The following is a 26,171-nucleotide window of genomic DNA, read 5'->3' as shown; positions in this document are numbered from 1 at the left end:
AATAAAAAAACTAGCCAGGCATGGTGGTGGGCGCCTGTAATCCCAGCTACTCAGGAGGCTGAGGCAGAAGAATTGCTTGAACCCAGGAGGCAGAGGTTGCAGTGAGCTGAGATCTCGCCATTGCACTCCAGCCCGGGCGACAGAGCAAGACTACGTCAAAAAAAAAAAAACAAAACCCATAAATAAGTAATAATTTTGAAATTAAAAAGTAAAAAAAAAAAGATGATATCACAGGGAATTCCTCTAAAATAGGACAGGGGTGAGGTGCTGGAGAGCCATTACAACAGCATATATGTGGATAAATAGTATAGCCAGTAGCATGAAGGAACTGACACTCTAGACCAGTAAGTCTCCAATGTTAATGTGCACATGGATAAGATCAGGAGAGGCGGTTCATGCCTGTAATCCCAGCACTTTGTGAGGCCAAGGCAGGCAGATCATGAGGTCAGGAGTTTGAGACCAGGCTGACCAACATGGTGAAACCCGGTCTCTACTAAAAATACAAAACTTAGCCGGGTGTGGTGGCGGGCACTTGTAATCCCAGCAACTCAGGAGGCTGAGGCAGGAGAATTGCTTGAGCCTGGGAGGCGGAGGCTGCAGTGAGCCAAGACTGTGCCATTGCACTCCAGCCTGGGTGACAGAGCAAGACTCTGTCTCAAAAAAAAAAAAAAAAAAGAGATCACCTGGGCTAGTTCAGTAGATGTCCAGATTCACCACCCCACCTCAATAGGCCTATGGCAGGGTCTGGGAATATAAATGACGCTGAGACAGGTGGTTCCCGACTCAGGGTCCTCTGAGAGTACAGAGGAGGCTCTAACCTATTCCAAGGAGATAAGCTGAGTCTTGAAGAAGAAAGTAGGGGGCAGGGGGTGGTGGTGAAGGAGAAGAGGACAATTTGGGCAGATGGAATGGGGTGAGCAAAGGCACCAGCATGAGACCCAGCATAGGGTACATAAAGGAATTCAAAGAAACAGAAACTTATAAGAAACTGAAACGGCAAGAATGGGTAAGGTCTGGGAGGCGGGTAAGGTCTGGGAGGCGGGTAAGGTCTGGGAGGCGGGTAGGGGCTGGGAGGCGGGTAGGGGCTGGGAGGCGGGTAGGGGCTGGGAGGCGGGTAAGGTCTGGGAGGCGGGTAGGGGCTGGGAGGCGGGTAGGGGCTGGGAGGCGGGTAGGGGCTGGGAGGCGGGTAAGGTCTGGGAGGCGGGTAGGGGCTGGGAGGCGGGTAGGGTCTGGGAGGCGGGTAACGTCTGGGAGGCGGGTAGGGGCTGGGAGGCGGGTAGGGGCTGGGAGGCGGGTAGGGGCTGGGAGGCGGGTAAGGTCTGGGAGGCGGGTAGGGGCTGGGAGGCGGGTAGGGTCTGGGAGGCGGGTAGGGTCTGGGAGGCGGGTAGGGGCTGGGAGGCGGGTAGGGTCTGGGAGGCGGGTAGGGGCTGGGAGGCGGGTAGGGGCTGGGAGGCGGGTAAGGTCTGGGAGGCGGGTAGGGGCTGGGAGGCGGGTAGGGGCTGGGAGGCGGGTAGGGGCTGGGAGGCGGGTAGGGGCTGGGTTACCAAGGAACCTTTGATACCATTCCAAAGGAGTTTGGCTTTATCCTTTAAACCAATATTTTACACACAGATTGTGACCCTCTATGGGTAACATGAAATCAGTGTACTGGGTCCTTGGCCATCAGGTTTTAAAAGTGATACAGCATATAAACTTAAACTCAGGTCAGTTTTTGTTTATTTGTTTGTTTTGAGACGGTCTCACTCCATTACCCAGGCTGTGCAATGTCACCATCACAGCTGACTGTAGCCTCGACCTCCCAAGCTCAAGCGATCCTCCCACCTCAGCCTCCCCAGTAGCTGGTATTACAGGTACACACCATCACACCCAGCTAATTTTTGTATTTTTTGTAGAGATGGGGTTTCACCATATTGCCCAGGCTGGTCTTGAACTCCTGGGCTCAAGCAATCCTCCCGCCTCAGCCTCCCAAAGTGCTTAGATTACAGGCATAAGCCACCACACTTGGCCTCAGGTCAGTACTGATTCTTCTAAATGTTACTTCTGTTATATAAATAAGTGTACTGTAAAATCAGTTGCAATGTAAAATAAATTTCTTTCATTGGTCAGGGTCACAAATCTGTGAGCTTCTCTGTGCCCTTCCCATACCTGTCCTTTTTGATTAATTTAGCCAAAGCCATTTTCTTACCACCAAAAAAACAAAACAAAACAAACAAAAACAAAAAAAGCCATTTGCTTATTGCCCGGACTAGTGAAAAACCCTGATTGGTAAGCAACGCCCACTCTGTTGACCTTGTGCCTCTGGGTGGTGATTAACGAGCTCAAGTTTCGAAGTGCCCTGCAACTATTTGGTGCTGGACAGGTGTAAAGAATTAGAACCAGACAACATTGCCATCTCCCTTAAGTCCTTAGGATGCCGTTTATTCATTGGCTCACTCAGAAAATCCTTACTGTGAACTTCCAGGGAAGCACCGTGGTGCTAAATTTGGCTATAAAGAGTACAGAGATGAATACTCCATGGTTCTGAAACCACGCACACGCACAACTGTCATCCACAGTCAACTGCAATCTATGATCCCCCTTCACAGATGAGGGAGCATTTGTGTGGATGTGAAAAAGTCAAGGTGGGATTTGGATTGAGATGGGCCAGGAGATAGGAGGAGGACAGTAACCAGGCAGAGGGGACAGGCATGAGCAATGTCCCAGAAGAGGCACCCTTGCTAGACTACTCAGTTGCTGCAAACAGCCTGCCATGCATTCCTCGTGCTCTGGACAAGAGAAACGGGGTGGGGCCAGCTGAGGCCTCCTTGATGGGGGCAGAGGCTTAGCTCAAGGAGGTATGACAATCAGGGCACAGACTTGAGCTGATACATAGCTGGAGCACTTAGGAAGGAATCTGGGGGGCTTAAAAGCTGTCCCATTAAAGGAAGGGGAACAGAGTAGACTTGTGACTCAAAAATAGGTATTGAATGTCTTGTCTTCAAAGCCCCCTCAAACCACACCAGCAGGACTGGGTTAGAGCCTCCTCTGTGTCACCCCTGTGCTTCCCCAAGGGTAATTATCCCTTCCTTGCTTGTTTTCCCCAAACTCTGAAAATCCAAGAGGACAAGAACAGTATCTTGTTCACTGTGCCTTTTACATGGTGCCTTGGGTTCAGCAGATGCTCCATAAATGTCAAATGAATGAAAGAACCAGCCCAACGTCCCTCTTCCCCAGTCCTCCCCTTGACATATCAGACCCAAATGCTATGTACACTTCCACTCTGCCTCAGAATCTACCCGCTTGGTTCCTTCTCCCTGGGGCTGTGTGCGGAGCTCTTGTTTACCCTGTAGATAAGCAGAGCCCAGGTCTGGTCAAAGGGAGGTGACCACATGGCCGTGAACCAGGCAGTGGTGGAAAATCCCAGCCTGGCCCCAGGCTGCCGGGCCCAATGCCACCCCCAACCCCCTTCCCAGCATAGGAAACTCCTGGGGATAGAAGACGCCCTTTATTTAGCTTCAGCCTGGAGGACTACCCTTCCTTTGGATGGAAGAGAGTGGGTGGGCCCACCTGCCCCGGTCCTTCTACCACATCACATTCTACCAGACCCCTTCAGGGTCTGAAAGGGGTCGGTAGACTTTTTCTGAAAAGAGCCAGATAGTGAATGTCTCAGACTTTGCAGACCAGATGGCCTCTGTCGCAACTACTCAGTTCCACCCTTGTAGCAAGAAAGCAGCAGAAAGAAGATGACAATGAATGGGTGGGGCTGTGTGTTCCAGTGAGCCCTTATTTATAAAAACAGGTGGCTGGCCTGATTTGGCTTGAGGACAGTAATTTAGAACTTGGCCTTGCCAAGTCCCCACAGAGTCCACTCCACCCCCAGGACAAAGAGTTCTAGAGCAGTGGTTCTCAATGTTGGGGTGATTTTGCCCCCATAGGAGATATCTGGCCAGGTTTGGAGACATTTCTGGTTGTGGCATGTGGAGGAGGGTTACTACTGGCATCTGGTGGGTAGAGGCCAGGGATGCTGCCCAACATCCTACAGTGCACAGGACAGGGCACACAACAAGGAATTATCCAGCCCAGCATGTCCATAGTGCCTGGATTGAAACACCCTTCTCTAAAGCAGTGGCTCTCAGAGTGGGTCATTATCATCTGGGAAATTGTTAGAATTGCAAATCATCTACTCCTCCCCTGCACTGAATAGGAAACCCTGGGGGTGGGGCCCAGCAATGTGTGTTTTGACAGGCCTTCCAGGTGACTCTGATGCTTGCTAAAGCTTGAGAACACTGCTGAAAGAGACCAAGGGGGCCGAAGGAGAGGGAGGGAAGGAAGGCAGGACTGGCAAACTCAGAACTCCCACCATATGCCAGGTTCTAAGCCACAGAGGGGCCTCCAGGGCAGTGAGACATTGACTATTAGGAGACACAGAGAGAAGACTCAAGGTGGCAGCAGGTGGGGTGGAGGAGCATGGAGGGGGCCAACCCCAGACACAGGGCCCAGGCGAGGCTCCCAGGATGAGAAGGGCTCAGCTAAGCCTAGAGGACAGCAGTCTGGGTAGGGAGAACAAGGTGATATAGAAAGGCAGGGAAACCCGAGAGAGAGACAGAGAGAGAGAGAGAGAGAGAGAGGAAGGGAAAGAGGGGGAAGAAAGGAAAAGGAGGGGGGAGGGGGACAGAGAAAGGGAGAGAGAGAGAAAGAAAAAGGGTAGAGAGGAAGAGAGAGAAAGGGAGAAAGAGAGGGAGAAAGGGGAGAGGGAGAGAGAGGAGGAGGAAGGGTAAGAGAGAGGGAGGGAGAAAGGAAAAAAGAGAGGGCGAGAAGAAGAGAAAGGGAGGGAGAAAGAGAGGAAGGGGGAGAGGATAGAGAGGAAGAGAGAAAGGGAGAGAGGGAGGAAAAGGAAGAGGGGGAAAAAGAGAAGAAGGAAGAGAAAGAGACAGAGGAGGAGGGAGTAGAGAGGGAGAGAGAAAAAGGGAGAGAGGGAGGGAGGGAGAGTGAGGGAGAGAGGGAGAGAGCCCTCTGGGAAACTGTAAGATGTTCAGCAGCCTCTAAGAGGCAGGGTTGCGGGATGGGAGGTGGAGTGAAGCCAGACAGAGTGACAACAGCCAGGACAGAGGGGCCCTGTTGTTGGCCAAGCAGCCCACAATGGTTCTCAGCCCCTACTCAACCCATGAATCACCTGGGGAGCTTTAAAAAAAGTAGCCAATGCCCTAGTCTCATTGAAGATCCGCTGAGTCAGAAAGGCGACTGGGAGACCCGCAGGGCGGCATTCAGATGTTCTTAAAGCTCCCAGGTAATTCTTCTGGGCTGCCAGGGTGGAGAGCGCCTGAGCTGTAGCTGAGGGAAGAGGGGAGACATTCGCTCTATTTCCTTTGATTCCTGAGGCACTCCATTTTATAAATAAGAAAATCAAGGCTCAGAGAAACTAAGTGACCTTTGCAAAATCACAGAGCAAGTCGGTGATGGGACCAAGATCTCAGAGACGCGAGACACAAAGATCCCGCGGCAGGCAGGAAGAGCCCAGCAGAGCTCCTTTATCCAGCTAGGGGAGGGGCTTAGTGATACTGCGGTGTTGGACAGCAGAAAGATGATGGAGGAAGGCTCAGAGGATCTTGACTTATATCCAACCAAGGAGTGAACAGCATGGGCTTGCAGAGGCCTGGGCTTCCCAGTCAGTGGCCTTTCGGGACTCCTCTCCCCAGTGGCACAAAATGGGCTCTGCATCCACTCCTTCCCCCTAGCCTCTCTCTACAGGCTGGACCCAGGCACGCTTCACTTTTTGGTGAGGTAGGTTGTTTTGCTATGACAAATGCTTCCCTGGATGATGACAGCTAAGGGGCTGTTGGAAGCTCTTTGCGGTTTGCAAAGCGATTTCATTCAACATTAAGAGGCCTCCCATGTGCTGGCTCTGGGCTCAGATGTGGATTATACAGGTGGTCAGTTTTCCAGTGTAAGAGATGAGAATGTAATGAGATAACAATGTGAGCAAGGGTAGCCCCAGGTGTTCCAAAGGGTACCGGTAGATGAGGAAGAGGAGCCAGCTTTCTGAGTGCACGCAGACTCAGAAAGATGCTGGGAGGAGGGACAGCTTGAGAAAGGAAGAGCAGGGCCCCCAGATGGAAGAGGAGGAAGGGGAAGAAAGGCCTTTTGCATAGTCTTATTTACTTCTCACAACAATCCTGAAATGTAGGGCTGACTATTGTCTCTGTTTTATGGCTGAGAAAACTGAGGCTCAGAGAGGTTATGTAACTTACCCAAGGTCACACAGCAAGGACCTGGCAAAGCTGAGACTCAGGCTCCTCAGGAAGAATCCCACGCCCTCTGCTGGCAGCACGGAAGTGACTAGAAGTCAGAAGGGGACTTGGAGCAAGGCTTTTACCTTAGGGGCCTGCAGAAAAGCAGATAGCCATCCAGTTACTGCAGTAGCCAGAATATCTCCAGCATCCTTCTCCACACCTCCCTTCCCCATCTTAAATTTTATAATTTCTCCTTCAGAGGAAAATCAGCCAACGGAGGCAATTATTCTAAGTTTCAAATAGACATAACCCTGGGAGGTGAGAATTCTTTTTTTTCTTTCTTTCTTTGAGACGGAGTCTCACTCTATCACCCAGGCTGGAGTGCAGTGGCCTGATCTCGGACACTGCAAGCTCCGCCTCCTGGGTTCATGCCATTCTCCTGCCTCAGCCTCCCAAGTAGCTGGGACTACAGGCGCCCGCCATCACGCCCAGCTAATTTTTTGTATTTTGTTTAGTAGAGACGGGGTTTCACCATGTTAGCCAGGATGGTCTCGATCTCCTGACCTCATGATCCGCCCGCCCTGGCCTCCCAAAGTGCTGAGATTACAGGCGTGAGCCACCGTGCCCAGCCAAGAATTCTTGTATAAGTCTTTTCTTCGTGAGGGACTTCACAGGGGACTCCAAGATAACCACTCCTGTTCTTCTCCCCAGCCCTTGCCTGCCCCTGCTGATATTTTAAACTGGAAAATACTTCTGATTTGAATATTCTCCCTGTGCAAATTTTCTTCCCTGGCATACTTTCTGCTAGATTTCAAGAGGGAACCAAAGATGTGTATCTTTGCAATTTAATTAAAATGTTTTTTGCTCACTGGTTAATAAAGACAAGCTTCACCACGGCTCACACCTTTTTCTGTGAACTTTCCCAGCCATTTGAAGCATCCCCTCAATGGATAACTGGGCTGGGCAGTTATCCAAGAGAGTGGGGGACCTGTGCTGCCAGATATACAGTGGCCAGAGCCCCCAACTGCCTGAATGATGTCAGTACAGGACTCCCTAGTTGGGACCCAAATTAACCAGAAAGGAGGACATGTCGGGTGCGTTAGATGAGCAAATAGTGCAAATGTCATTCGCTCTCTACACAGAAGGAAATTGCCCAAGTAGCTGATGGTTCCCTTAATGGGTGGCTTTGAGATCATGGGAGAGAAAAATGGCAACAGTGAGCAGCCACTGTCTCCCAGGCAGCCCTTCCTGGCCAGCCCCTTGGGGAAAAAAGCACAGACTCCTGGAAACAGCCAAAGTGCCGGGATCTGCACAGTTGCCTGGAACAAAGAGGGTCAGAAAAGAGGTCAGTAGTCAGTGTCCCAAAACACATCCCTCCTGGATGATTTTCTTTATCCAAGCTGACTCACACGCCCTCACCCAGCCCCACCCAACCCCACCCAGCCGCAAACCAGCGAGTCCTTTATGTGGTTCTTAGAGTGCAGGTGTTAGGGAGATAGAGCACCTCAATCGGTCTGAGTGGTCCAGCCAGCCCGAAGTTCAAGTACAGCCTTCGCTTCAGACTTGGTTCTTAAGAGAGCATATTTTCTAGAAAAGCGGAGGAGGAGAAAACGTGAGGCGAGCAACTAGGAGGCAAGTCAGAGAGTGTTTGGAGGCAGCCAGGTGGTCCTAACAGAAAAGGGGGGCAAATCCTCGTGTCATCAAACCCTCTTTGTCTTCAGCACAGGCAATATATTTGGGGCATGTTCTTCACTTCTCAGAGCTCCACATTCTTCTTCCCAAGCTGTACAGGTGCTAAGGGTCTCCCACACCTGAGCACACAATAAAGGCTGCTCCTCCCTTGCTTCATCCTCCTCCATCACAGGTGCCTGGAAATTTCTCCTGCGTGCTTCTGCTTTACAGAAAATTCATATTAGTCCTTAGCTTTCCTGGGAGTGGATGGCTCTCCCAACCCAATAAAAAACTACTGGAGGCCAGGCGCAGTGGCTCACGCCTGTAATCCCAACACTTTGGGAGGCTGACGTGGGCGGATCACCTGAGGTCAGGAGTTCAAGACCAGCCTGGCCAACATGGTGAAACGCCATCTCTATAAAAATACAAAAATTAGCTGGGCTTGGTGGCGGGCGACCGTAATCCCAGCTACTCTGGAGGCTGAGGCAGGAGAATCGCTTGAACCTGGGAGGTGGAGGTTGCAGTGAGCCGAGATTGTACCACTGCACTCCAGCCTGGGCAACTGAGTGAGACTCTGTCTCAAAACAAAACAAAACAAAAACTACTGGAGGTCAAGGACTGTGTTTTAAATTCCCCACTGTTGCACAGCATATTCAACCCATATCTCAACCAACTTAATATTCCCAGAGATGGGCTCAATAGATAGACACAGTAGAGATACAAAGTATACCTATTGAATGAATCAGTGAATGAATGAATGAATGTAGCCTCCATGTAGCCTCCTCCCCAGGGTCCTTTCTCTGGGCCTTTGTAGCACAGAGCTCTGAGTAATGGCTCCAGTGGGGTGGGCAGGGGCCAGGCTAAAGTTCTCCAGAGAGAAGGGTCAACAGCACATCCAGGAGCTTCCCAGGGTAAACACTGACACAATGCCCACAGTGAGCACGGAAGACTCTTTTGTCTCATCTGCCCTCTGTCTGTGGTTCATGTGCCCTGGGGCTGCTAGGATGCTGTGCTGTTGCCAGGGAACCACCTCACTGAGCATCCAGGAAAGGAGGACCTACAGTCACCGGGGGTCAGAGGCCCAGTCCTGCTCCCTGCTGCTGAGAGGACCCTGCGGGGATTTGTGATGGGATCAAATGAGCCCTCACCTGGACCATCCCTTGTACTAACTGAGAGCTTTGTCCAGTGCCCAATACAGTTTACGCACGGGATGAAATTAGAAGCCCAGGTTCTCCTAGAAAGAAACAATGGCTGCCAGTCCCTCCCCTCCAGGGAGAGAGAGCAGTGGGTGCTCAGTCCTGTCTAATGAAGAAAGTGATGGCCAGGCCGCAGCCTCAGGGAGGCTGGGAAGTGTTGAGTGGTGTTTGTGCCTTGATGTGTAATCACCAAGGGAAATGGATAAATGATTTTTCCCGCTCCCTTTTCTTCTTTAAATATTTTTTTAAGAGACAGAGTCTTGCTCTGTTGCCCAGGCCACAGTGCAGTGGCATGATGATCATGATTCACTGTAGCCTTAACCTCCTGGGTTCAAGCAGTCCTCCCACCTCGGCCTCCCTAGTAGCTGGGACTATAGGCATGAGCCACCACGTCCAGCTAATTTTTTAATTTTTTGTAGAGATGGGGTCTCACTGTGTTGCCCAGGCTGGTGGTCTTGAACTCCTGGCCTCAAGTGATCCTCCTGCCTCTGCCTCACAAAGTGTTAGGACTGCAGAAGTGAGCCACCATGCCCACCCCCCTCTCCCTTTTTAAAACCACTAATTCTCCACCAGGGGTGATTCTGACTCCCCCTCCTCCCCAGGGTCATTTGGCCACATCTGGAAACATTTTTGATTGCCACTCAATGCTGGTAAGATTATCCAAGTCATGACGAAACGCAAATACCCTTATAAATGATCCCACCACCAGGAATTTGTTTTTTAAATCCTTTCAACAGCCTGAAGTGTGGTCATTATTATCCCGATTTTACAAATGAGGAAACTGAGGCACAAAACGCTGAAGGGGCTTGTCGAAGAGCACGGTTGCAGGTTGGGTTCCCAGAGAAGCAGAACCTGAGACAAAGCTCTGCGTGCAGGACTGCCAGGAAGAGATGGGAAACATGGAGCTGCGATGCCGTCTTAATGAAGATTTCAGTCAACCCTGAGAGGAATTTTGGAGCTGAGCTGACCCTTTGGAGTTATCTCAAGTTGTGTAGAGGGAACCAGGCCTTTATACCCTGGCTTGGATCAGTCCCTGATCACAGGCTGCCCCTGGAAAGAGGCATGACTTTGGGAAGGGCTATTTTTTTCAGGTGAGGTGATCCAGGGCGGACGGCTGAAAGCCACCTCTGGCAGCACTCCCAGAAGCTGGGCAAGTAAGTCCTTCATTCCTGAAGAGGGGTCTGGGTGCATTTCACAGCATCTACCAGTCACCTTACTAATAAGGCCAGAGGTGGAATTGTGTCCAGATCCTCTGCTCACCCCCTTCCCTTTGCCATCAAGTCTCTGTCCTCAGTCTCTGATTTACAAGGGGATCAAGAGGCCCCAGGAAAAGAACTCAAGTAGTCTCCATGACTGGAATTCTAGCTGGACTAGAACTCAGCTGCAGGAGTGAGGGCTGCGCAAGAGAAGCCCAATTGTAGGGCTTGCGACAGTGCAGCTGCAGGGCCCAGAAAGGAAGAGAACTCGCTCCTGGTCACAGAATGGAACCACCCTTTATACCCTCAGACCCCATAGTCTGACTTGGCCCCCTACACTCTTTCCCCTTCCAACCCCTACAGACCCTTGCAGGATGGTTCCATCTCATTGCTGCAGGACTCAGAACCTAGAATTTACATAATCATGGGATTTTCGCACTGGAAGTTAGTAATCTCCAGTGTTTTCCCCTGAGGAGGTGAAACCCAGGTGTGTACCGTGTGTTCTCAATAACACATGAGTAACTCCTCTGGGGACACAAAGCTAGGGTGCCACTGGAACCCAGGTCTCCCAACTCCAAGGTCCTGGCACTGGGCACCACGACATGCTGCTGCAGGCAGCAAGACAGAGAGACAGTACTGCTTTACCGGGCACCACCCTGCCCTTTCCTCTCTGTGCCCAGCCCCCATACTCCGCAAACAGTGCGGAGGTGAAGAGATCCCCTTCGCTCCTGTGCTCTGCTCATTCCTGCTCACTCTCGGGTCTCCTACTCCCTTGGAGGCTTTTTCAGACCCCCTTCCCCAAAGGCTAGGTCAGTTTCCACCCCACTCCTCATTTTATTCTCTCATGACATCCTGTAATAATCCATCACGCATATTACTGTTGTGGTTAGTCAACTACTGCACAATTGCTTAGTCAATGTCTGTCTCATTAGAACATAAGCTCCCATGACTGTGGGACCAGAGCTGTGTTATCCACCAGTGTGCCCTCTACCACCAAGAATGACTGAACTAATGAAGAGTCCATGCTGTCCTGTATGTTCTCCAATTCTTTCATTTCTTAGCCACGGTTGTCCTGACTTCTTAGACAAATGTCAAATGCCTCAAAGGCACAGAATGAGATTTAATGAGTGTCCCCACCTCCTCAGCACCTAGTCCAATGTCAAGCACAGAGTGGCCAATCGCTGATTGATTGATGATTGCTTGCTGCCTGAACCTCCGGAACTCCCCTGCCGAGAAAGGGAGTGAGGGATTCTTGTGCTTCTCCAAAGACTGAAGGGCAGAGGCCTCAGTAATTTCTGGACTGAGCTTAGGCAGAGAGGAGGTAATTAGCTCAAATCACATTAACATGGTTCTCAGGAAATGGCTGCTGAATTAGATATTCCAGCCACAGCAGCCACCTCTATTTAATAGGACATTAATGCTCATTCTGAGCAATTACTGTATTTGCAATGGTTTCTTAATGTTCAGCTTCTGGAGCCCTGAAAGGAAAGGGCTTTGTGCTTCCAGTAACCAGCTCTCCACCGTAAGGCAGAGGAATGAGCTGGGGAAATGCTCCCGGCCAGATCAGGGAGCCAACGCCCCAGACAGTCTGGAGAAGAGGCCAGGGACTCCAGGCTCCTGTGCCTGGCTTCTCCGACCAGCCGATACCCCCAGGGCCTCGCTAAGGGTGGGCCTATACAGGCAGAGGCAGGAAGGTCTCTATGCACAAGTGAGCCTCACTGAACCTTCTCTACTGCTCCCTGCAGTTATGCAGCTGCCTAAAGCCAGTCCCTGCTAAGTGCTCCTAACAGCATCCAGTACCTCTCCCAGCACAATGCTTACCATACTTATCATTTTGATTCTAATAGCATTTCCCCCCTTGATTTTAGAGTAATTAAGGTTCACTGCAAAAATAAAGCAAAGTGTAAAATAAGCCAACAGATCACATCTCTAATGTTTTCCTGTGCATAGGCACACATAAACATATGTAAAGACTGGCTTTAAAACAATGGAGCCAATCCAATCATCCACTCTCTGCTTTGGGACAATGGAGTGACCACTTTGTTTTAATTGCTTACGTAATTATCTGCCTTTTCCTATGAGACGTAGCCTCAGCGTGGGCAGCACCCAGCCAGGCTCACTACTGCTTGTTGGCAGAGTACCTAGCACATGGCAGTCACCCCACAAATGATAGCTGGCTAGATGGCCTGTCAGGTAGCATCCTTTGGGTTGCAAGCAACCCAATTAAAACTGGCTAAAGGAATGTAATAGCTAAAAAATCTTGGATGTTCAGGAATAGTTCTAGCTTCAAATGAGACTTGATCCAGTAACTCAAACCATGTCATCCAGTATCTAATCAACCTTTCCCTCTCTCTCTGTACCTGTCTCCCACTCCATCCTATCTTGTGTGGCTCCTTGGGTTGGCCCAGAACACCCAGGCAGACAAGATCTTGTTCTTACACCACATGGTCCAGATAAGAACCAGCTATTCTCTCATTAGCCTAAATTGGGGTGCACGACTTTCTCTGAAGCCATTCCAGTGGCCAGTGCAATGGCTAGATCTGGGGTGGGGTCCATCCCACCAAAGCCCCATGGGAGGAACTGGAGAAGGGAAAGGAAAACAGATACTCAGTAGCAACAAAATACGAAGAGATGGGTGGACACGTAGGCAGGTGGATGGAAGAATGAATCAGTGACTGAGGAGAGCAGCAAGAGGAGCTAGATCATTGCAATGTTCTCTCTCTTGGGAATCTGACCATGACTAGCAGTATGGGAGTGCGGCGGAAGAGGCAGAGAGGCTGCGGGCAGGAGATGGGCAGAAGGGCACAGAAGAGAAGCAGCAGCAGAGGGAGCGAGGAAGCCTCCCCATATCCTACCTGATACACCATCTAGCCAGCTACCATTTGTGGAGTGACTGTCATGTGCTAGGTGCTCTGCCAACAAGCAGTAGTGAGCCTGGCTGGGTGCTGCCCACGCTAAGACTGCACCTCATAGGGAAAGGCAGACAATTACATAAGCAATTAAAACAAAGTGGTCACCCCACTGTCCCAAAACGGGGCATGAGAATGAGTGGACGATGGGCTGTTCCAGCAAGAAGCCACCAGCTCCTGCTTCTGAAGACCAAAGGGGACGTGGCTGTTCCACCTGCAGAAGCCACATCGCATGGGGTCCCGCATTCAAGAACCCATTCTCATCCTGTTCTGAGATTTTTGTCTCCTCTTTTTGCCCATCATTATGCTTATAATAATCACTATGTTCCCTATCCTATTTAATTTGTTTCTTGAGCTATCCAGAGTAATTTTTTCTTCATTCCAACCAAAGGGGCTAACCAAATAAAATGTCTTTATTAATTTGACCAAGCATCAATATTAAAGAATGGAGTGACAGAACTAGTTATTGAAGGGAATTTTGACTTCTCCCCTGATTAGCAATTCGCAACAGCTGCTTAATCTAACCTGGGTTTCCCACCCCCGAGTTAAAAGCTAAGAAGGCAGTTGCTGAGTGCATTTTCTAAGTGTGTCACGTACATCCACTCATGTAACACTCTCAACCCTAGGAGGTACAGCTGCTTCCATCTATCCATTTTACAGATAAAGAAATGCAAATCATATGAGGCATAGCTGGGATTTGAATCCACGGAGTCCAGTTCTAGAATCTGTGTTCTTAGTTACTAGGTTTTCCCAGTCTTTTAGTGTGGACTACCCTTTCTAATGTACCTTCCCTTTGTTGTATTTTCAAACCTCTTTTTTTTCTGTCAACCTACTACAAGATCCTGAATGCAGAAAATATTCTGGCTTTTCAATCTGCCATCTGCAGTGGAACCGCCACCAAAATACAGATTTTTTAATAAAAATCTTTACGGGGAAGACCGTCATCCTCAAGGTCGAACCCTTGGATATGACAGAAAATGTAAAGGCCAAGACCCAGAATAAGAAAGGAATTCCTCTTGATCAGCAAAGGCGGATCTTTGCTGGAAAGCAACTGGAAGAAAAAGATGGATGTACTTTGACTCTTTCTTTCTTTCTTTCTTCCTTTCTTTCTTTCTTCTTTCTTTTCTTTCTCTCTTTCCCCTCCCTCCCTCCCTCCCTTCCTTCCTTTCTTCAGAGAGAGTCTTGCTGTGTCACCCAGGTTCCCAGGTTGGAATGCAGTGGCACAATCTTGGCTCACTGAAACCTCCACCTTCTAGGCTCAAGTGATGCTCCCACCTCAGCCTCCCAAGTAGCTGGGATTACAGGCACACACCACCATGCCTGGCTGATTTTTGTATTTTTAGTAGAGACAGGGTTTCATCATGTTGCCCAGGCTCATCTTGAATTCCTGAGCTCAAGCAATCCCCCACCTCGGCCTCCCAAAGTGCTGGGATTACAGGCATGAGCCACCGCGCCCGGCTGATTTTCTTTTATTTGTAGTAGAGACTGGGTTCCACCATCTTGGCCAGGCTGGTCTCGAACTCCTGACCTCGTGATCCACCCGCCTTGGCCTCCCAAAGTGCTGGGATTACAGGCGTGAGCCACCGCGCCCAGCTGACTACAACTTTCAAAAAAAGTCTACTCTTCATCCTGTGGTAAGACTTCATGGTGGTGCTAACAAAATGAAGAAATCTTACACCACTCCCAAGAAGAAAAGCAGGAGAGAAAGAAGGTTAACTGGCTGACTTGAAATACTAGAAAATGGATGAGAATGGCCAAATTACTTGCCTTCTTTGGAAATGCCCTTCAGATGATTGTGGCACTGGAGTGTTTATGGCCAGCCACTTGGAGCGAAATTACTGTGGCAAATTGTTGTCTGACTGATTGCTTCAACAAACCAGAAGACAAGTAATTGTGTATGAGTCAGTAAAAGACATGAACTAACATTTTTTTTTAAGTCTGAGTGGAGCCGCTCTGATTAAAGATGGGCGTGAGAGTCACAGCTGCCTCGGCACCTCCCTCCTCCCTCTCAAGGAGCGTTGTTTGAAAATCTCCTGTGTATGTGTGGACAGAAGCAGGGGGGTTGAGAGTCTGAACTGTAAGATTCCAGGGGGGGTCCCCACTCCACTCGCTCTGGGATCCTGGTAAGCCATGTCACCTCTCAGATTTCAGGGTAACCTCCTACAACTCACAGGGGACCAAATGCTCCCTGCCCATCTCAGGGCTCTGCTTGTTGGTTGGGCCAGGCTGGTGACAGATTATTTTCTGCCCAGATAGGCTAGAAGCTAAAAAGAGAAAAATAAAAGGAAGGAAATAATAACTCTTACTCTGCCCCTAGCTCCTAGCTCACCAACTAGGTGCAGAAGTAAAATACAGTAAAGCCCGTAGCTGTCATCAGCTGGAATCCTTTCCATCTCTCTCAAATTTGAAGAGTTATTTTGTCTCTCTCCCTCTCCCTCCCACCCTTTTCCTCGCCTTCTCCCCCTTTCCCTCTCTCCCCTCCTCCCTGTCTCTCTCCCTTTCTCTCTTTCCCTCTCCCCACAATCTATGCCTATGTGTGCGTGTGTGTGTGTGTGTGTGTGTGTGTGTATCAATATCCTCCTCTGTTTTGCTCCTTTCCATCAAGTATTTGAACTTCATCAAACAGTCACTGTATGATCAGCAGAGCAGGCACCGTATATTTGTTCTGTGATTGTAGAACCTACAATCTCCTTTCTGATAAAGGAATCCTACTTGTTTCCATAGAGTATGACGTCCTCAAAATAAACTTACACAGAACATAATTCGATTTTTTAAAGTGCTATATATAAAGCAGGTCTCCCCACAGAGATCAAAGGCCCACTTCCTGCCCACAGTACACGGGGCTGTATCTATTTGTCTGCGGAGATAAGAAGTTCCAATATCTGAGCAGAACTAATTTCAAAGCCTGCTCAGCAGAATTCTGATAAATGTCTTTTAAACGGCTCTGTTGAAATGTGTAACAGCGCTGTCTTTTTTTTTTTTTTTTTTTTTTTTTAAGACAGGGTCTTGCATTGCAGCCACTGGAAAGCTTTATGCCTTAGGGGTGGAATCACTGGGTGGTAGCATGCTCAGGGTCATTTCAAAGAAATGCACGCAGGCCCCATAGCAAAACCTCATCTCTACAAAAAATTTAAAAATTAGCTGGGTATGGCGGTGTGTGCCTGTAGTCCCAGCTGCTTGGGAGGCTGAGGCAGGAGGATCACTTGAGCCCAGGAGGTTGAGGCTGCAGTGAGTTATGACAGAAGCACTACACTCAAACCTGAATGACAGAGTGTGACCCCGATTCCAAAAAAGAAAGAGAGAGAGAGAGAGAAAGACAGAAAGAAAGAAAGAAAGAAAGAAAGAAAGAAAGAAGGAAAGAAAGAAAGAAAGAAAGAAAGAAAGAAAGAAAGAAAGAAAGAAAGAGAAAAAAAGAAAGAAAAAGAGAAAGAAGGAGGAAGGAAGGAAGGAAGGAAGAGAAGGAGGGAGGGAGGGAGGGAGGGAGGAATGAATGCACCCTAGGCAGAAACAGGGAATCTGGAGTCAGATGAAGAAGGAATTTAGGCAGGAGAACAGAACTATTGGCCAGGAAAGTTCTGGGCAGTAATTTCTGGATCAAATGACAATCTATCTTCCATGCCAGAAAAGGAACCTCTGATTCATACTAATGATGAAACTGCCCAAGGGATTAAGTATTTTTCCATTCAGGATCTAACTTTAAGATCAGAATCAAGTTCTTCCCCTCTAATTTGGCCCATTTTCTCCATAAAGGACCATTATTATGATACAATAATCATTTTGTGGGTGCATTTTCTAGGCTAGGCACTAAGCGAGCCATTTTTTTTTTACTCACTCGTCCATCCTACAAACCTTTATTGGCAAACCACTGGGCGCCAGGCTCTGTCCTAGGTGTTGCGGATACAGCAATAAGGAATATATGTGAAGTCCCTTTTGTCACGTGGCTCACGTTCAAGTAGGAAGACACATAATCTTTTTAATGAGCAAGTAAATACACCATGCCAAGCAACAAGGAAAGCAAAAAAAAAAAAAAAAAAAAAAGCAGAACGAGGAGATTGAAATAGCATGCAATTTCAGATAGAGGAGTCGAGAGAGACTCTAAGATGAGGTGCAATTTCTACAACCCTGGCCAGCTGCCTTGCAAAGAAAGACAAGCGACCGGTCACAAAGGAAACCAGATTAGGGAGAGATAGATCCGGTGAACCTGTCATCCCTACTACAAACATGTGTTCAGCTGGTAGCAGATCAGTAACATCTTCTCCAGGAGTAAAGGAGAATTTATTTACATGCTCATTACATATGCAGAGTTGTGACCAAATTGCTGCAGGTGACAGGTCCAAGTTCCTATAAGGATGTTCTATGGCTTAATACCCAGACTTTGTTCCGGACTTCATCTCTTAAGTGCTGTCATTTCTTCTGTATAAGCTATGGTTACTTTGGTTTCTTTTCTTCCTCTTAGACAGAAGATTCCAGCTATTATCACATAGCTTCCTCATTTACACTAAATAGAGTAAACCATTATTATGGATGTAAGACGATGGGTTTCATAAGTGAACCCACTGTGAAGGTAGCCTGGACAGGTGTATTAGTCCGTTTTCAAGCTGCTAATAAAGACATACCCAAGACAGAGTAATTTATAAAGAAAAAAAAAAGATGAGGTGCAATTTGAGCAGGAATCTAAAAGCGGTGGGAGATTCAGCCTTCTAGATATCAAGGGAAGGGCAATCCAGTGGAGGGCACGGCGCAGGGAGAGGCCGTGAGGTGGGGGCGCATTGGTGTGTTGGAGGGGTAGCTGGGAAGTGAGCAGTGATGGAGCAGAATGAGCAGAAGGAGGGCATGAGTCCAGAGGGGTCACAGGCCCTGGGAGCATCCTGGGGACATGGATTTTATTCTGAAGCTGTTGGAGAGCTTTGAGATGAAGGAGAGTCATGATTCTATGCATTAAGGACAATTCTAGTTACTGTGAGGAAAACAGGGTTTAGGGAGACAAGAGTGGAAGCTGAGAGACTGGTTAGGCAGCAGATAGCAGATGCCACAGTCCAGGTACGAGGTGTTAGGGTTTGGGTTAGGCTCCTAACCATGAGGGTGGACAGGAGTCGCCCAATTGCAGATATGTTTCCAAAGTGGAAGCAATGAGATTTGTTGTTGAATTAAGCATGGAGGAGAAAAATAGGTCAAAGATGCTTCCAAGATTGTGGCTGGAGCAACCGGGAGAACTGATGGTGCCATTTAGAAAGAGAAGAAGACTTACAAAGAAAGGAGCTGGTTGTGGGCAGGGTATCCAAGATTTGGCTTTGGACCTGTTTGAACAGAAACTGCATAGGAAATGGGGCAGGGTGTAAGGAGAGCCCAAAAGAGGGCTGAGGACTGGGCCCCGGGGTTAGCCCAACTTGTGATTTGGGCGAAGAGGAGGATTCACCAGAGAAGGATTCACCAAAGGAGGCTGAGGAAGAGTAGCCCGGGAGGTTAAGAGAGACCTAAGAGAGAGTGATGTCCCCTGGCAGAGAGCACCAAGTGTTTCAAGGCAGAGGGCCTGATCAACTGTGTCACAAGCCACTGATAAAGGGAGCAACAGGGGACTGAGGCTTGACCTCAGACTTGGCAACACACAGCTGACCTTGATAATGTCAGAATATGTAATTCTGATACCAGCCCTGCAAGCTAAATATTATTGTCTTCATTTTACAGATAAGGCAACAGAGGCCAGAGGAGGTTCAGTGATGCACCCAGGGCCACATAACCAGTGAATGTTGGGGATCAGATTAGAGTGCCCACGTCTCCAGCCTCCTTCTGCCATTGACACCATCACATCGACCATCCGGGCAAGACCCCCGCACCGCCCCCAAGGGCGCAGGCTTGATTTCACTGCCAAGCCAATAATGTCAGCAACAGCACTTATGGTGCTGGACCATAAATGAAACAAGCTTTGAGAACTAACTGCCACCCCAGAGGCCTCAGGGAGGAGGTGGCTGCCCTCAAAGGCTCAGTCTCGTATTCTGTAACCTCTCTACCCTGAAGAAGATCCCACCAGCTGCCTCTTCTTCCAGATCCTGCCAAGAATTAGGCATCTCCCAACCCCACTCCTGGGCCTCTTCTCCACATTCTCCCTGCCAATCATCCCCTTTAATAAAAAACGGTGAATAATTTTCTAGCATGCATCTTTGGATTGTTTACTGATTACCATAAACATTAGCTGCTTTTGAAATGCATTTTTTCAGCTTACTGTATTTTTTTTTGACTGATTTTTTTTTTTTTTGAGATGAAGTCTCACTCTGTCACCCAGGCTGGAGTACAGTGGCTTCATGTCGGCTCACTGCAACCTCTGCCCGCCAGATTCAAGCGATTCTCCTGCTTCAGCCTCCCAAGTAGCTGGGATTACAGGCACCTGCCACCACGCCCAACTAATTTTTGTATGTTTAGTAGAGACGGGATTTCACCACGTTGGCCAGGCTGGTCATGAACTTTTTTTTGACATTTTATAATGAAAATTTTCAAACATACAGTAAAGTTGGAAAGTTTTGAGCAGTGAACACCCACACCCCCCCCCCACTAGACTCTACATGTACCATTTTACTCTCCTCGCTTTACCCCGCGTCTGTCCATGCATTCCTCCCTCTGTCCACCAGCATCCATCTTATTTTCTAAGCAAGCTACAGACGTCAGTACGCGTCACCCCAAACACTTCAGCATGCATGTCACAAACTACAGTTCAATATTGGTTTAAGAGTTTGTTTGGTTTTCCAGATATAATTTGCAAAGAGAGAAATTAACATATCTCATGAGTATGGATGCTGACTTTGGACAAATACATACACAAATAGGTTACTGAAATCTCCATCAAGATACAGAACATTATCATCACCCCAGAAAATTCCCTTATTCTCTTTCCCAGACACTCCTTGTCTCACCCCAAAGGCAACTACTGACCTAATGGCTCTCACATCCATGGTTTTTGCCTCTTCTGGAATTTCACATAGAGTCACACAGCATGTAGTCTTCTGTGTCTGGCTTCTTTGGTTCAGCATGTTTTTGCAATTCATGGATGCGACAGCATGTTAGTAGTCTGTTTCTCTTTTTTGCTAGTGGTATTCCATTATGTAATTATATCACAGTTTGTTTATCCATTCTCTTGTTGATTGCAATAATTCTTTTAATAAAATAAAATTATTCTTTCATGAATTTCTAGTTAGGATGCTTCTGACTTTCTGTTAAGAATTCTCTCATCATCATTTAAAGCAAACTGGGCTTGAGTCGTGGCTGTTTAGAGCCTGATCTTTGAAATCAGAAAGCTCTGGATTTCTACTTCAGTCTCCACTGTTACTAAGTGGGTGACCTTGGGCCAGTTACCTAACCACCCTGCACCTGCACCTTACTTTTACATCTATAAACTGGGAACAAAAATATCTAAAGGATAGGAGGGGCTTATTAGGATTTAAATAATTCATTTATTCCTTGGCTCTTTCCTGTAGCAATAGTTAATAAGAACCCACCGAGTTCAACCCGCTAAGCCTGGGAAGGTAGCAGGAACCAAAAGCAGAGAGAGAGATTGTTCTCATGGGCCTGTTGTTCTGTGGGCTACACAGACACTAAACAACTAATTGTACAGTTAATTATTTAATGGCCATTGTGGTCAGTGCTGCAAGGGAGATGTGACAGCTGCTAAGAGCCTGTGACAGGCTTACGTAAGGAGGCTAAGAGTGGAAAGAGGACAAAGTAGGCAAAGCGGGACCCTTCCCGACAGAAGGAAATGCAGTGTCTGAAAGCTCTCTGGAGGGCAGAAGCACTGCCCTTTGGAAGGACTGAAGAGGCTGTGTAACCACAGGGCCAGGGGTGTGTGTGTGTGTGTGTGTGTGTGCACGTGAAGTGGTGAAGAAGGAAGGTGAGCTGGAACAAGTGGAGGCTGACCAGGCTGGGCAGTGCTCTGAGTACGCAGGGCTTTGCAGACCAGGTTCAAATGTTGGTTTTTAACCCCAGAGCCATAGGCAGTGAGGGGTGCTGGAAGGTAAGCTTCACACAAGAACATCAGGTGGGAGTTGTCTGTTTCGTTCACTGCTATATCCTTAGTGCTTAGATGAGTGCCTTGGATCCATCTGTGGGAGGAAGCGAGGGAGGGAGGGAGGAAGGAAGGGAGGGAGGAAGGAAGGAAGGAAGGAAGGAAGGAAGGAAGGAAGGAAGGGGAAGGGAAGGGAAGGGAGGTGAGGGGAGGAGAGAGGAAGGGAGGAAGGGAGTGGGGAGGAAGAGAGGAGAGGAGAGGAAGGGAGGGAGGGAGGAAAGGAAGGGAGGGAAGGAGGAGAAAAAGGGAGGGACAGAGGAACGGAGAGAGGAAGGGAGGGAAGGAGGAGAGGAAGGGAAGGAGGAGAGGAAGGGAAGGAGGAGAGGAAGGGAAGGAGAGTGGAAGAGAGAAGAGGAAGGGAGGGAAGGAGGGAAGGAGGGAGGGAGGAGAGGAAGGGAGGGAGGAGAGGAAGGGAGGGAGGGAGGAGAGGAAGGGAGGAAGGGAGGGAGGGAGGAGAGGGAGGGAGGGAGGGAGGGTCTTAAGCAGAAATTGGAGATTTGTGTCTCATACAGTCACTGGCTGCAGTGTGGAGACTGGGTGGGACGGAGCACAGAGTAAGTATTCTTCTGCTCAGGCTGCCAGAGCACTACAGACTAGGATGATGCTTAAACATTGATTTCCTCATAGCTCTGCTGGCTGTAAGTCCAAGATCAAGGTTCCATCAGGGTTGGTGGCCGGTGAGGCCTCTCTTCCCGGCTTATAAATGCCCTCTTCTCCCTGTGTCCTCACATGGCCTTTCCTCTGTGTGGGCCAGGAGAGAGCCAGCTCTGGAGCCTCTTCCTCTTCCTGTAAGGATACCAGCCCTGTGGGATTAGGGCCCGACCCTTACTCCCTCATTGGCCTTCATTATCTCCTTAAAGGCCCTATCTCCAAATACTCAACTTATGAACTAGGGAGTGCAGGGGGAGCACAAGTCAGTCCATAACAGGGTGGGAAGCCAGTTAGGAGGTTAATGTGTTCAAAGAGGGGAAATGCTGATCGCTGGGACCAGGTGTCAGCAATAAAAATGGGGGACTACTGAGCAGAAAAGTTCACCAGAATCAGTGGTGGACTGAGAGAGGAGGAAAGATGAGGTGTCAGGAATAACTTCCAGGTTTCTACAATGATCATGGTGGCTCCCATAAAGAGATGTCTACATCCTAACCCCTGGGACCTGTGAATGGGACCTTATTTGGCAAAAGGGTCTTTGCAAACATTACATTGAGGATCTCAAGATGAGACATCCTGCATTGTCCAAGTGGGTCCTGAATCTGATGATACATTGCCTTATAAAAGAAGAGCAGAAGGACAGACACAGAGAAGGTAACGTGAAGAGATTGGAGTCATGTGGCCACAAGGAGCCACTGGAAGCTGTCAAAGCAAGAAAGGACTTTACCCCAGAGCCCTCAGAGGGAGTGCAGTCCTGCTGACACTTTGACTTTGGGTACCTGGCCTACAGAACTGTGAAAGAATAAATTCCCCTACTTTTAAGGCAAGCTGGTGATAATTTGCTAAGGCAGCCCTAAGCAACTGATAACAAGGAGCACTTGAATGGGTGAGAGAGGGAAACCGGAGGGGCTCAGGTCTTGTGGGATAGGAGGGTGGGTATGAGTTTACACGTAAAAATTCAGAAATTGTGGTGGCTTTCAGATATCAGGAGGTGAAAGGGCCGTAGCTGGGCTTACAGTAAATACTCATCAATTCATAGTTGTTATCATCATTTACTTTTAGAGTACGCCTACATTAGAAGTGATTGCTCCTCTCAAGCATATCTGAATTTCCTGGAGTACTGGGGTGGCAGTTTCAAGCTCTGCCAGCACCACAGCAAAGCTTAGCTCTTTTCTTGCAACACCCTTGTTTGGGGATGAATATTTCCTGGTACAAAGTTCTATTTGAATCACTTCTCCGCCTATTGGTTAAGATCAAGTGTAAAGCTCTGTTTGCACTTCTTCACCTCCAGCTGATGCCAACCTCGTACCCACCCAGAAGTCTACATCACAGGCTTCCTGGGAGAGCCAAGGGGAGGCACAGCCCACTCTTCCCTCCTCCCCTCCTTCGTTCCATGCCCGCACGACTCCATTCCCAGCAGAAGTCCGCCATCTTGTGGACACATACAATTCCAACAGCCCAGGCCAAAATCAGAAAGTCAAGATCAGAGAGAAGATGGCTTCAAAGTCACTCAACTTCTCTTCCTACCTCCAAATACAGCTTCATCTAATTGGCTCTAAAAGTCAAGGGCATGAGTGGAGAATCTTCCTGGTCTTTAAAATAGCTAAGACATAAGAAGAATGGCATCAAAGGAGGACCTCAAACATCACCCCTTCAGCCTTTGGAGAATTGAGCCCCTGGTCTACAGATGACCCCTTCCACCCTCTCCAGTTCATGGAAACAGGGTAGCTGTTGAGTTAAATGCTCCACTCTCATGGGAGAGAGAGCCCACTTCACTCACTCCCTTCATAAACCTGCAGAAGGCCTCACCATGAGCTTGAAGAAGTCTAATTTCTGACTCACTTATTGCTTAACCAGGGTACTTAAAAGCTAGTGTATGCCTTTGTTTCTCTATCCATAAAATGGGGATGATAGTACTATCTACCTAATAGATCTGTTGTGGGCACAAGACGAGTTAATATATATGAAGTGATTAGAATACTGCCTAACTCAGTAAATTCAAGACGCTACCTATTACATCCCCCACCACCAAACCCAATATTCCTACAACATTTCATTGTATCCCCACTCACCTTGGATATTGTTTATATCCAGGTATGTCAGGTGCTACTGGAGAGAAGAAAAAATTAACAGGTTATAGTCCTTACCTTCTGAAATTTGTGGCATAGTCTAGGAGCATGAACAACACACATACACACAGAACAATTATTGCGAGATTAAAACTAAGAATTTCCAGCCAAGTGCGGTGGCTCACGCCTGTAATCCCAGCACTTTGGGAGGCCGAGGTGGGCGGATCACCTAAGGTTAGGAGTTCAAGACCAGCTTGACCAACATGGAGAAACCCCATCTCTATTAAAAATACAAAAAAATTAGCTGGGTGTGGTGGCGCATGCCTGTAATCCCAGCTTCTCGGGAGGCTGAGGCAGGAGAATCGCTTGAACCCAGGAGGTGGAGGTTGCAGTGAGCCAAGATCCTGCCATTGCATTCCAGGCTGGACAGCAAGAGCGAAACTCTGTCTCAAAAAAAAAAAAACAAAAAAACCCACACACCCAAAAAAAACTAAGAATTTCCATAAAGGGAAAAAAAAAGTGAAAGTATAAGGAGAAGAGCATCCACAGTCCCACCTAAGGAGATCAGGCGACTCTAATTGAGGCCAGGTAGGTGCTAGCACAGGCTGACACTCAGCGATTCTGGACGGAGCAAAGGCAACACTGGGAAGTGCTTTGCCATTCCCTTGAAGAGCTCACCTACCTTCTGCAGTCTGTTCTCAGCCATGCAGAATCAAAAACTTGTTTTTTTAAGTACTTTCTATCAATTATTTTTATTTATTGTGTAATCTGCCATGTATGATTTTGAAAGTCCTTTTTTTTTTTCAATGGGGTCTTGCTCTGTCACCCAGGCTGGAATGCAGTGGTGCAAATCACAGCTCACTGCATCCTCGAGCTCCTGGACTCAAGCAATCCTCCCGCCTCAGCCTCCCAAGAAGCTATGACCACAGGCACATGCCACCATACCCAGCTAATTTTTTAAAATTTTTTTGTAGAGATGGAGTCTTGCTCTGTTGCCCAGGATGTCTTGAACTCCTGGGCTCAAGTGATCCTCTCACTTTGACCACCCAAAGTACTGGGATTACAGGTGTGAGCCACCACACCCAGCCTTGAAAACTTAACTTTGTCATAAGGAGTGGAGGCATTTTTTTATTCCCTGCATACAGTCTGATTGACTTTATCTCCCCAATGTCACTCATTCGTGCTTCTTTCCCTCCATGGCCACTGCTACCCTGTTAGCCCTGGCCAGCATCATCTCTCTCCTGGCCTACTGCAAGCACCTCATGGCCAGTCTCTGCTTCTTCTCTGGGCTCTCCCCAGTGCATCCTCCTCCACGGGGCAGCCCAAGCACACCTCCCATCATGCTCTCCCCACTCAGTGCTCCAGGGGCTCTTCAGCACACTTGGGATAAAACCAAACTTTTTTTTTTTTTTTTGAGATGGAGTTTCACTCTGTTGCCCAGGCTGGAGTGCAATGGCGTGATCTCGGCTCACTGCAACCTCCGCCTCTTGGGTTCAGGTGATTCTCCTGCCTCAGCCTCCTGAGTAGCTGGGACTATAGGCATGCGCCACTGTGCCTGGCTAATTTTGTATTTTTAGTAGAGATGGGGTTTCACCATGTTGGTCAGGCTGGTCTTGAACTCCTGACCTCAGATGATCCATCTGCCTCGGCCTCCCAAAGTGCTGGGATTACAAGCGTGAGCCACCACACCCAGCCAGGATAAAACCAAACTCTTTACCTGCATTGTGCTAGCCTCATCTATGTCTACTTGTACTCTCATTCTTTGCCAGGCCCTGAAGACCTTCAGGATTTGGTCTTCTCATAAGCACTTCTCTCTCGGCTTTAAGCACTGGTCCATAAAGTCTTCACCTGTCCTCACCCATTCATCTTTCAGGGCACACCTGAAAATCACCTCCTCAGGAGGTTTCTGGAACCCCTGGGAAGAGGTCAGATTCTCTGGTTTCACACATTCCCATAGCAGCCTCACTTCTCCTTCTCAGCATCACCACCATTGTTGGCTGGAACCCCTACCTATTCGTGTAATTATTGTTTGGCCTGTAAGCTCTACAAGGGCAAACACCGTGTCCCGTGAGGTCACAGTCACATCCTCAGTTATTAGCATAGTGCCTGACACGTAGGAAGTCTTGAATAAATGGACAGAATAAATGGATAGAATAAATGGCTCACTGAGTGTTTCATGCCAATGAATAGGGTGGATATAAATACACGCAGAGGGTTCATTTA

The 26,171-nt window shown here is 48.5% G+C and overlaps 1 long non-coding RNA gene across 4 annotated transcripts in view, besides 2 other annotated features; it reads right to left on the bottom strand.

The window, feature by feature from the left end:
- TMEM220-AS1 (TMEM220 antisense RNA 1) overlaps positions 1-26,171 on the bottom strand; it is an 85,388-nt gene that overhangs the window by 54,575 nt on the left and 4,642 nt on the right. The window contains exons 3-4 of one of the 4 annotated variants that reach the window (NR_073455.1): positions 23,952-23,988; positions 6,228-6,361 (exon numbers count right to left, since the gene is read on the bottom strand). The exons of 1 other annotated variant lie outside the window; for it this stretch is intronic. This is a non-coding gene — a long non-coding RNA (TMEM220 antisense RNA 1). The remainder of the gene's footprint in view (positions 1-6,227; positions 6,362-23,951; positions 23,989-26,171) is intronic. 2 more of the 4 variants (NR_073456.1, NR_073457.1) reach the window with 2 other exon arrangements.
- Positions 6,124-6,418: an enhancer, noted in NCBI's record as "tiled region #1671; HepG2 Activating non-DNase unmatched - State 13:Ctcf". NCBI's record gives its function as "activates a minimal TATA promoter and a strong SV40 promoter by Sharpr-MPRA in HepG2 cells {active_cell/tissue: HepG2}" and the evidence as "EXISTENCE:reporter gene assay evidence [ECO:0000049][PMID:27701403]".
- Positions 11,383-11,932: an enhancer, noted in NCBI's record as "H3K4me1 hESC enhancer chr17:10651975-10652524 (GRCh37/hg19 assembly coordinates)". NCBI's record gives its function as "activates a minimal SCP1, AML or CMV promoter by ChIP-STARR-seq in naive H9 embryonic stem cells {active_cell/tissue: H9 hESC(naive)}" and the evidence as "EXISTENCE:reporter gene assay evidence [ECO:0000049][PMID:30033119]".

The sequence above is a fragment of the Homo sapiens genome, chromosome 17 (genome assembly GCF_000001405.40).
Source record: "Homo sapiens chromosome 17, GRCh38.p14 Primary Assembly".
In the NCBI taxonomy this organism is placed as follows: domain Eukaryota; kingdom Metazoa; phylum Chordata; class Mammalia; order Primates; family Hominidae; genus Homo; species Homo sapiens.
This window is presented reverse-complemented; position numbering and strand designations above follow the sequence as displayed.